Genomic DNA, 12,389 nt, shown 5'->3' with positions numbered 1-12,389 from the left:
TCCTTTATGGGAGAAATCCTTTGGACCAAAGAGAAAATTTGTGCTTCAGAATGTTGATCTGATAAAACCAGAGCTGCTGGGAGAATACTGTTTAGAATGGGATTCATTTTTGTGTTTGGTCAGCAGATTTTGGAGGTCCAAGGGTAGGATTTTAATTTATCTGCGAAATTTCGTCTTGCCAAATTGACCCTTCAAAACTGAACTTTTAAAGCTGAATCTGACATTTAGTATTTGTCAGTGTATTAGTCAGGGTTCTCCAGAGAGACAGAACCAATTGGCTGGCTGGCTGGCTGGATAGAAAGATAGACAGATGGATAGACAGACAGATGAGAGGGGATTTATTAAGGGAATAATAAATCTCACTCCATCATAGAAGCTAAGTCCCATGATAGCCATGTCTTAGTCTTTTTTTCTGAATACCTGAGACTGGGTAATTTATAAAGAAAATAAATTTATTATAGTTCTGGAGGCTGTGAAGTCCCAGGTCAAGGGGCTGCATCTGGTTGGCCTCTGGGGAGGGCTTTGTGCTGTGCCATAATGTGGTAGAAGGCATCCAGGACAGTAGGGCTCACAAGAGAGAGCCAACCTGGTTTTTATAAGAGACTCACTCTTGTGATAAGTCGTTAACCCATGAATGCATCAATGAATTAATGAGTTATCAGGCTCCTTGTGATCTAATCACCTCTTAAAGGCCTCACTTGTTAATACTGTTACATTGGGGATTAAGTTTCAGAATGAGTTTCTGAGGGTGACAAACATTTAGACCATCGCAGGCCATCTGCAAGCTGGAGATGCGGGGAAGCTGATAGTATGGCTCAGTTCAAGTTCAAAAGCCTCAGAACCAAAGGAACCTATAGTACAACTCTGTCTGAGGCTGAAGGCCAGAGAGCCTGGGGGGCCGCTGGTGTGAGTCCTCAGTCCAAAGGCTGGAGGACCTAGAGTTCTGATGTCCAAAGGTAGGAGAAGAAAGGTGTCTTAGCTCTTGGAGAGAGAGCAAAGTCTCCTTTTCCCTGCTTTTTTTTGTTCTGTTCTGGACCCCAGCCGATTAGATGCTGTCCCACCTACATTGAGGGCAGATCTTCCCACACAGGCTACCATCTGACACACCAGTCTCCTCTAGGAACACCTGTACAGACACACCCAGAAATAATGCTTTACCAACTATCTAGATGTCCCTTAATCCAGTTCAGACACCTGATATTAACCCCACAGTCAGGTTGAAGTACATTGTGGGATACTTTTGGGGAGCTACAGAAGTGCTCTTTAGTTTGCTATGTCTGTCCCTATCTGCTAAGTCCCCTTGACGTACAGTTTATCTCTGTGTGTGTGTGATATTAAGGACAACAGAGGTCATCTAGTTACCCAGCCTTGTAGTTTACAGATGAGGGCAAGAAGTACAAATATTCCCAAGGTTTTACCTGTGCTTAGTTTTGGCCTCTCTGCTACAAACAAATACAAGAATGAATTGTCTGAAAATTTCAGTGTTCATACACAATATAATCCTAAGTAGAAAATCCTTAATGAGTTTTGACTCCTTAGCTAGCATTTCAGAGATGATTTAGTTTTCATGCACTGTTTTAGTTCCTACCAAAATATTGGTTGATTTTTCTCCATATTAAAGTGTAAAAATAATTTAACAGCGGCAGAAGTTTAACAAACAAGGCATCATCAAGAAACAGTGGTTTTGAAATTATTGCCCATCATCTGAGCCTGTGCTTCAGTACATTCATAGTTACATCATCTTTCTGAGTGTTTGTATGTAGCCAGTTATTTGTATATCTTGATTGTAAACACTGTGAATAGTCATCTGCCTTCCTACCATTCCCCCTTCATGCTTCAACATCTGATAGAAGGTGATTTAAATCCTTTCACACAGACCCAGATGCTGATGTTATCTCTTGACAACAGTCTTTTGAATTGAATACCACTCATAGGTTTTGAAAATGAGCCTCTAACCTTGATCCTAGTGCCTACAAGCAGTAAGCAGCCTAGTCAGATGGATGTGGCCATGGTCTTCTATTTCTTTCATCTACTTAACTTCTCTTTAAAAATTCATTATGCTAGTTCTGGCCGGGTGCGGTGCCTCACACCAGAAATCCCAGCACTTTGGGAGGCCGAGTCAGGCGGATCACGAGGTCTGGAGATCAAGACCATCCTGGCTAACACGATGAAACCCCATTTCTACTAAAAATACAAAAAATTAGCTGGGTGTGGTGGCACATGCTGTAGTCCCAGCTACTCAGAATGCTAAGGCAGGAGAATTGCTGGAACCCTGGAGGCGGAGGTTGCAGTGAGCCGAGATCGCACCACTGCACTCCAACCTGGGTGACAGAGTGAGACTCCGTCTCAAAAAAAAAAAAAAAATTACTATTCCAGTTGTGAGCAGATCCCTCCAGAAGTCTGCTATATATTGGATGTACCAGTAGTTCCAGGTATACCCATTTGGAAATGCTAATAAATGTGATGTTACCACCAACAGGATTCTGTGTCCCATTTAATTTTTGTTTTCAGGTTTTTTTTTGTTTGTTTTTTGTTTTGGAGACAGAGTCTTGCTCTGTTGCCCAGGCTGGAGTGCAGTGGTGCCATCTCAGTTCACTGCAACTTCCGCCTCCTGGGTTCAAGCAATTCTCTGCCTCAGCCTCCCAAGTAGCTGGGATTACAGGCGGTCGCCACCACACCCGGCTAATTTTTGTATTTTTAGTAGAGACGGGGTTTCATCATCTTGGCCAGGCTGGTCTTGAACTCCTGAACTTGTGATCCACCTGCCTTGGCCTCCCAAAGTGCTGGGATTACAGGTGTGAGCCACCACACCCAGCCCAGGTATTTTATTTTGTTTTATTTTTCCTCTACCTGCCCCTTGTTTTAAGGTATTTTAGAAATGGGAGTTGTGTGGCCACCTGAGGGGAGCTGTGCCACAGCCGTGGTCCTTCCATAGGTGGATTCAGGCCCCACTGAGAGTGGATGCAGAAGACGACCCTGTGGATTTTTAGGTCTGTTCAGTTCCAGCGCTACACTAAAATACACCAAGGTTGGGAGAAGGTGTTCCAGGATCAAACAAGAGTGGATACTTTATCAATGGCAATAAGAAATTTACTTGCGAGGCCTCACTCTGCCCTCTCAAAATGAAACAAAATGTTTAATGACTCAGTGCATTTGGGAGATGTGTATAGGATGGTGTAATTATAAAGTATATTCAGTCCTTTCTTTCTCCTGAGAAGAGTCTGTGGAGTCAGTATTTCAGTTTTTCCCCTTACCCACTGGTCCCCATGTCAGAGCAGAACCCTGGGATACATGAACCTTGATGGCCTGAGGCCTGGTGGTATACTCTGCTTTAGGTTTTTCTATACCTCTTTCCTGGCGTTTTGAGCTGTAATGGCTGTAAAGTTATATGGATAATATATATAGATATGTAAAATTCTTAGATCCTTTTTGTTTGTTTGGTTTTGAGACAGAGTTGCGCTCTTGTTGCCCAGGCTGGAGTGCAGTGGCACGATCTCCGCTCACTGCAACCTCCACCTTCTGGGTTCAAGCCATTCTACTGCCTCACTCAGCCTCCCGAGTAGCTGGGATTATAGGCACCCACCACCACACCCAACTAATTTTTGTATTTTTAGTAGAGACAGGGTTTCACCATGTTGGCCAGGCTGGTCATGAACTCCTGACCTCAGGTGATCCACCTGCCTCTGCCTCCCAAAGTGCTGGGATTCCAGGCATGCGCCACGGTGCCCGGGCATTCTTAGAGTCTTATGTTAAATAGGGTAGAGGCTTGAAATATTACAAGATATTTCCTATCTAATTTCATTTTTAAAATTTCATTTTGTTGTAAGCTGACAACTTATAATTGTATATATGTATGGAGTACAAAATGATGTATGATTCATTAATACAATGTAGAATAATTCAAGCTAATTATCATTTTTTATGATGGCAACATTTGAAATTTACTCTCTTACCAATTTTGAAATGTACAATACACTGTTATTAACTATATTAATCATGTTGTGCAGTCGATCATTTAAAAAACCCAGTTATTCTTCTTTACTGAGATTTTGTACCCTTTGAGCATTAGCTCCCCATTCCCCCCACTGCCCAGCCTCTGTAACCACTTCTCTTCACTTCTGTGAGTTGGGTTGTTTGAGTCCACATGTAATAAGCACATGTGGTATTTGTCTTTCAATTCCTGGCTTATTTAACTTAGCATAATATTCTCCAGTTCAATTCATGTTGTTGCAGATGACAGGAGTCTTCTTTTTAAAGACTGAATAGTAGTTTTATATATATATATACACACACACACACACACACACACACACACACACACACATACACATATACACACACATACATACACACACACCACATTTTCTGTCTCCATTCATTGTTGATAGGCACTGAGGTTGATTCCCTAACTTGTTTATTGTGAATAGTACTGTGATAAACTTGGGAGTGCAGGCTTCTCTTTGACAAACTGATTTTAAATATTTTGGTAAATTCACAGAAGTGGGATTCCTGGATCTAATTTCATTTTAATTGAATTAAATTTAATTTCAGATATTTATCCATGAAGTTGGGTAACTATGACTGGTACAGAAAGCTTATCTTTAGTTTTGATTTACCTGTGTAAATAAATACAGGTTGGGCATCTCTAATTTGAAAATCCATAACTTTTTGAGTGCTGACATGATGCAGTAAGTAGAAAATTCCACATCTGACCTTTGTGACAGGCTGCATATATTATTAAAATGTTTTATATAATTACCCTCAGGCTATGTGTATGAGGTTTATATGAAACATAAATAAATTTTGTGTTTAGACTTGGGTCCCATCCCCAAGATATCTCATTATGTATACCCAAAGATTCCAAAATCTAGAAAATTCTGAAATCAGAAACACCTCTGGTCCCAGGTATTTTGGATAAGAGGTTACTCAGTCTGTATCTGGAGTTAGCTTTGATCTTTGAAGAATAGTGATCTTTGACCCCATTGTCTGTCCCTACCCTTCTCCCTTGAAGTCAGGAATGATCAAAGCCATTATGACTGTGTCCCCAAGGTCTTAGCTAAGGTGACACGTCTAACAGTCATTGTCCTGTAAGTGGAGGTGGGCTCAACTGGCAGAGTTAATGCCTCTTTAAACTGGTTGGTGAGCACACTTGAAGGGAGATAGTGATGTCTCTGGGAGACGGTGTTCCCCCCTCTGTATGCTTAATTAGTGTCTGACTACCAATTAAAAGTTTTATGTATACATTTCTGAATTATACAGTAAACCTCTAATGTTCAGACAACTCTTAACCTTATTATCACCATGTTGTGGAAATGCATGAAAAGTTTCTTCAGAAAGTATCTTTTTAAGCCATACAGTATACACATGTTAGCCACTTCATCCCAAATTTCTGGAGAAACTTGGTTGGCTATATTGGCTTATAGAGTAAGAATTTTGATCTGATTTCACTTGGTTCTGAATCAAGAGCCCCCATGACTAAGCAGTTAAATATATGCAGGAGGTTACTCCTCTTCTCTCCAGCAGATTGTTTTGACTTGGCAAAGTTATTTATTTGCTAATATCCATCTTTGTACTCTGTTGAGGCTGTCTTTGGCCTTGATATCTCTGTCACATTTGATAACACAGAGGGACAGGAGTGGTCTGTTTTGGAGGCTTTGGGGACCTGATAATCCCTGCTGTGAGCTGGTGGCAGGTATCATCAGCTGGTGATCAGTGGGACAAAGAAGCTCTTTCCTCTGTATCGTAGGTGAATTTACAGTTGTTCTGTCTGGCTTGCAGGCCACCTCTGTGTGAAGGACTCTCTCTCTCTCTCTGCCCTAGTCCTATTGGTATTTATGAACTATCCAGATACCCCCTCGATTATTATTACTATTTTTATGTTGTGGAAAAACATTGCCCTGAGGCTGATATTAAGACTGTTTCTAGGAAAGACTCAGGCTATTTAAATTGATAAAACACTAAATTAATAATCATGAAAGATCTCTAGGAAAGGAAGTTTCCATCTCAACGTTAGACCCTGTGTCTGTGTTTGGGCAGACTGTGTTGTGTGTTGCTGATGACAACACAGTTGCCCTTCAACAGCAACTTTTTCTTGGCCTTGCCTGTTTCCATTGCCTTCCTTTTCCCCTAGTCTACCGCTTGTCAGTTATCTAGTTCTGAGTGTTTCATTTCAGTTATTTTAAATTTGTTAAATCTCAACAGACTATTGTCTGTTATTCAAAGATGTGTAGAAATCTTTGCTATTCTGCTCCCAGATAGCTACCATAAGGATCTTTTTTCTAAGCCCAGATTTGGGGGATGGATTTTGTCCTCTATTAATCTCCTTAAATCGACATATGTTCTTCATTTCAAGAGAAATCCAGCCAGGGTCTATAATTTAGCCCAGAAACAACTCCCCCTCCCCTTTTTTTTGCCCAGAGTCCTGAAACTTTATTGTTAAGCAGATTGGATGTGCTCCTGTTTAGTGGCTTAAAACATAGCAAGATGTCCACCTCTACAAAAAAATTTTAAAAATTAGCTGGGTGCCTGTGTTCCTACTTACTCAGGAGGCTGAGGCGGGAGGATCACTTGAGCCTGGGAGGTCGAGGCTGCAGTGAGCCATGATGGTGCCATTGCACTCCAGCCTGGGTAACAGAGTGAGACCTTGTCTCTAAACAAACAAACAAACAAACAAACAAACTGGTGAGAAGTTATTTACTTCCCAGTGGTCTCCTCTTACTATTCAGAAGTACACCCTAGGGTGCTTTCACACAGGAAGCTTCACTTCCCTCTTTATTCTGCATTCTGTTTGAAATATATTATTTATAAACATTTTGACATTTATGCCATTGTTAAATTATATTGGTAGTAAAAAATGAGGCTTATTTGTTGAGAAATTCTTGACAAGCTTCTAGAATTGTTGGAAAAATGAAGACATTTTCCTCTTAATTTGCTGTATGACACTATTACTAACATAATTTTGAATCTTAGAAAAGCAAAAACTTTAAGGGACCTCTTTTCTCTCTATCTTTGCTGCTCTCTTTTTCTGTAAAACAATGATAGTAATATCTGACATTTTTTGAGCTCATCCACTTGCTTTATATTAATTTATTTAATCCTCACAACCAAATAAGGTAGAAACTTGGTTTTCTCCCATTTTGTATATGAGAGCATTGAGGCTTGGAGAAGTTACTTGCCCAAAGTCACATAGCTTAGTAAGTTGCAGAGCCAGGATTCAAACTTAGACAGTTTTGCTTGAATCGCATGATCTCTAAATTCACGTCTGGCTTTAATTTTCTGTGATTTTGAACAAAATTCTTCAACTAGTGAGTAGTAGGAATTACATAATTACCTGTGTCTAACTTTCTAGCAATACTTTTGTGTCTGAGGTAGCTCTGGGAACACTTACTCAGGGAGGGGATGCTCTCTTCTTCCCTCAGTATTATAGCAGTGGCCAGCTTCCACTGAAGGTGACATTTTAATTTGTAAACCTTTAGGATGGCACCGTTAGCCAGTGCCATTGCACAGATACAGAGAAAAAATTAGAGATTCTCCCACAGCATCATTTTATCTACTTGGTTTTGTTTGAGGAGGAAATCTAGATATAAACATGTAAGAATGGAAAGAGAGCATAGAAACAATTTTGTTCCACCCCTTCACTTTTCATAGGGTTGGGGGACTCCACTCAGGTTGCAACTAGCAGTTGCAGACTGAACTGTAATCCTAGATTACCTAATTGTAATCTAGTACTGCTGAAACCACACACTGCCTCCCTTTATGGACTTTTCATTTTTAATTAAGTTACCGGCCTATTTAGAAAGATTGTGGATATTACAGCTACTTAAATTTGTTTCAAATTGTTGTTTACTTCCAGTCTACCTTTGTGTGTTTTATCTGTGGAATTGATTGTGAAGTCTTTTCAGCACAATGCTGCCACTCCCTGGTTATTGCATAGTACTGCATTGGGGAATCCAATAGTTCCTTCACTGCCATTGTAAAGTATAATATTAGGAGTCATACATCTAGGTACAAATAAACCAAAGCAGTTAATTTATTTGTGTGTGTAATCAGTAGGTATTCCTACACCATAAGATAACATAGATATTGTACTTCAGAAGATCACCAGTATCCCTGGCTTGGTTCTGAAAGATAGACATTGTACAAATTTGAGTTACTGTATCTAAAAGGTATTTCTGTTGCCCTTCAGGTTTTCAGATGTCTTAAATGTGTTGCAGAAATACATAGATGGTAGATTTTAAAAGATTGTTGTTAGGAGTGCTAGTAGATCTGGACTCCTGTATGCTCAGTGAAGTAATACATTTCTGTGAGCACTGAAGCATGTATTAGTAGCTCAGTGACTAGAGATCACTATCATCCCTTGTAGGAAACCAAGTTCTGGTGAAGAAGTAACTCCCACACTTCTCGGCACAGTTCTTCAGATTTTTCTGTGAACTATTGGTTACAATCACCTACCAATAGAGGAAACAATATTCATTGAGCACCTACTCAGTTCTAGATGCTTTCTGTCTTTTCTATTCTTTCAGTAATTATTTTAGGTAGATTTCAGTATCTCCTTTTTACAGAAAAGGGGAGATTGGGAGAATCTCGGTAATGTGCCCCAAGTCACATACATGGGAAGTCATGGAATTGAGATTGGAGGGGGCCACAGGCCTTCCCATCTTCTTTCCAGTAGGCCATCTTCCCTACCCTGTAGTGCTCGAACCAGGTTTTATTTTTGCCATTCTGATTTTGTTTTCCTTAAAAAACAAAACAAAATGAATTACTAGACCAGTGATTTCTCAACTAGGGACAATTTTGTCCCCACAGGGGAGATTTAGCAATGTTTAGAGACAGTTTTGGTTGTCAGAACTGGACGATGGGTGCTACTGGCAATTAGTGGTTAGAAGCCGGGGATGTCATAAGCATCTAACAGTGCACAGGCAGATCCCCACAACAAAGAATCCTCTGGCCCAAATGTCAGTAGTGCTGAGGTTGAGCAAGTCCTTATTATAGACAGCGTATTTTAACTGAATGCATCCCCAAGCACTGCCAAACAGGTGCTGCTTCTTCCCCTGGTTTATATATATTTTTTCTATAATGAGTAATCTTATCCTGGTCCTGCTTTTTATTATCCTGCCGAGGGAAGAAACTAAGTTTTCTTGGAGACAAAATATAATTTTTCCTCTACCCCTCTTAAGTTCTTGGCTAAATAATCCTTGTGCCAGAGAGCATATTTTGAGGTGGTATATCCTGATCTCCTACACTTTCTAGCTGCTCTCCCATGTCCTGGCGATTTGTCCCTTGCTGCCTGTGTATTTGGTCAGCAATAGAGTTAGAAAACTCCAGTTGTCCTGTAAGCTCACTAAAGGCCAGACAGAGTCAGGACTCAGGTTCTTCTCCATATTTCCCCAGAATGGCTTCGTTGATGCATGCAGATGGACTGTGGGGTCTGGATATGTTCAGTAGTTTGTCTATCTTTATTTCAATGAAAAAATTCATTGAAATCTCTCCCATTTTTTCTCAAGTCAGATGTTAGCACATCCATAATCCCCTGCTGAAAGTAATTATTTCTCTAAACTGCTACATGTAACATTTATTCTATTTATTTAACATACTGGTATGTCCTCTTTTTCCCATCTGAAGCATAAACAGTGTAGAAAGTTTTTTTTGCCATCAGAAATTTTAATATAAAGGCATAAAATGCATAAATATTAAAGAGTACTCATCATGTAGGATTATTCTATGTATAAAGTGTAATTAAACCAGTGATGATGCCGTATTTTTGTAGGCATGTGTATTTGGCACAGTTAAATGCAAAAAAAGAATCTTGGTATTTATGTTATTTACTTTGGTTTTTTGTTTTGTTTTGTTCTGTTTTTTTTTTTTTTTTTTTTTTTTGAGCTGGAGTTTTGCTCTTGTTGCCCAGGCTGGAGTGCAATGGCACGATCTTGGCTCACCTCAACTTCCGCCTCCCAGGTTCAAGCAATTCTCCTGCCTCAGCCTCCTGAGTAGCTGGGATTATAGGCATGCCCCACCATACCCGGCTAATTTTTGTATTTACTTTAAAACAGCACATTTTCGGCCGGCGTGGTGGCTCATGCTTGAAATCCCAGCAGATTGGGAGGCCGAGGTGGGTGGATGGATCACCTGAGGTCAGGAGTTCCTGACCAGTCTGGCCAACATTGTCAAAACATGTCTCTACTAAAAATACAAAAAATAGCTGGGCATGGTGGCACACACCTATAATCCCAGCTACTTGGGAGGCTGAGGCAGGAGAATCGTTTGAACCTAGGAGGTGGAGGTTGCAGTGAGCCGAGATCACGCCACTGCACTCCAGCCTGGGCGACACAGTGAGGCTCCTTCTCAAAAAAAAAAAAAAGAAAAGGAAAAAAAAAAGAAATAACACATCTTCACATTTGAGTTCTGTTGAAACTTGTGGCAATTGTCATCTTTCTGATTCTTTAAATGGCTTTTAAGTGTTTTTTAGCAAAGGTTTTTTGGAACCTTCCTGGTGTTTTAGTGTTGGCTATATTTGTGACTTGCTCGTTAAAGCAGGAAGCATCTTCCTTCATTAATGAGGGCTCTTTTATCATATTTTAGGATTTAGGCATCCCCTTTATAAACATGAGGCATTTCTTGAATTTTAGCTCTCATTCATTACTGACCAACGGGCCTGTGATGAGAACGTAGAGGCTGCTGAAAGGCATGATACTGCATTCACCTTGGAGAAGCCTGTTAAGGCCGCACATGGGTTGGAAAAGTATTTTAGGAGGCCGCAGGGAACCTCAGTGCACTCCCTGTTGAGCTATTTCTTGACCAGCCACAGAGATGATCTTTTGCAAGCTGCAGCCCCATAACTTGCTAATGGAAGGGCAATATTTGATCCTTTATTCTCTGAACAAACTGGGAACAAAATTAACTTTTAGGGATAACATAGTGCAGTGTCCTACAAACATTTACAGGATCATTTATGTGATAATCATAAAATTCTTCATTATTCACAAATAATTTTATACAAGATGTTCTATTATCTGGAGATTCGGAAATAAATGAGATGAGGTCTCTGGACTCATAGTACCTTCATCACCACCCATTCTTCGCTATATTCATTTGGCACTTAACAATAACTGTGGCTAAACAGTGGAAGGAGAATCTGATTTAGTCTGGGTAATAGGCAAACCTTGGAGAAGAGATTATTTTGTGCCAGGCCTTGTGGGGTAAGTTCTTTCTAGCCTTATTGCCCTTAATGAGCCTTGACAGTCAGCTAACACTGACTCTAAATATTTACCAAAATGATTAAAGATTAAAATAGAAGGATATATTAATGTAGTATTGTATAGTTAATGTTAAATAAAAATGTAATTTTGAATGGATTAGTTAAACTGGGGAGATAAACAGATTCAAGACTGGTCTCCTTTTGTTTCCTGAAATAAGCAGTTTAGAGGGGTAAGGTGAGAGGGATCTATTGATGGGTGTTTTTAAAAAACAAAACTTGACCTCATAACTGACTTATGTATTGTTGTGGTCCTGATGGTAATTGTGTCTCTCCCTATCTACGTGTCCACCCGTTTACAGGGGCTTTTGGTCATGGGTATGATATGCACTTGTGGCCACCTGAAATCCTGTTCCTAATGCTGTTAGATTTTCCTTTTCAGAGTAAGAGGGACCATCTCCTCATGAACGTCAAATGGTACTACCGTCAATCTGAGGTTCCAGATTCTGTGTATCAGCATTTGGTTCAGGATCGACATAATGAAAATGGTAAATATGTCCTTGTGGTTTGATTTGTGTGTTTCTTAGCTTTGGGCAAAGTTCTTTCTAAAGACATTTCATTAAATGAAGATAACTTTTTGAAAAATGGATTTTGGAGTGTTGGTAGGCCTTATGCTTGATGATTCACATTGGCTACCAGTTAGTCACGTGAGGTGGGTCTGTCCCTCTCTAGTTCCAGATGAGGAAACTGAGGTTGAGAGATGCTAAGGACGTTGCTGGGGCCATGCATTGTCTAAGTGGCAGTGCTGGCGCTGGCATCAAACTTTGCCTGGCCCTGATCCTGCTCCACTTTTCTCACAGTCAACAAACCAATGAAAAACAGCTTGGAAGAATGATGTTCTTTTTTTATCTTTCTGTTTTTTTTTTTTCCTTCTTTGAAACTATAAAAAAACCTCTGTTAAAGCGTGTAAATTATAGTTCCTTGTTAAAAATATTCTTATCAATGGAAACTGTGTAAGTTCACTCCATTTTGTAATATTTAGCAAGAAAAATAAGACAGGATCACTAAGTATTTTGGTAGTTGAAGGAGGTGCTAGGATAAGATAGTTGTTTTTCTTCTTTTTCCATTTGTGCTTAATCCATTTTGGCAAAATATAGGGTCTTACTAAGGGGTATAAAACATAGCCAAGAAGATACTT

The 12,389-nt window shown here is 39.9% G+C and overlaps 1 protein-coding gene across 2 annotated transcripts in view; it reads left to right on the top strand.

The window, feature by feature from the left end:
- Positions 1-12,389, top strand: part of RERE (arginine-glutamic acid dipeptide repeats) — a 465,237-nt gene that overhangs the window by 248,484 nt on the left and 204,364 nt on the right. For both annotated transcript variants that reach the window (NM_001042681.2, NM_012102.4), the window contains one exon: positions 11,634-11,739. In NM_001042681.2, the coding sequence (NP_001036146.1) occupies positions 11,634-11,739 (106 nt within the window). The remainder of the gene's footprint in view (positions 1-11,633; positions 11,740-12,389) is intronic.

This window comes from Homo sapiens, chromosome 1 (genome assembly GCF_000001405.40).
Source record: "Homo sapiens chromosome 1, GRCh38.p14 Primary Assembly".
Classification (NCBI taxonomy): domain Eukaryota; kingdom Metazoa; phylum Chordata; class Mammalia; order Primates; family Hominidae; genus Homo; species Homo sapiens.
The sequence above is the reverse complement of the archived record's forward strand: the minus strand, read 5'-3'. Positions and strand labels throughout refer to the sequence as shown.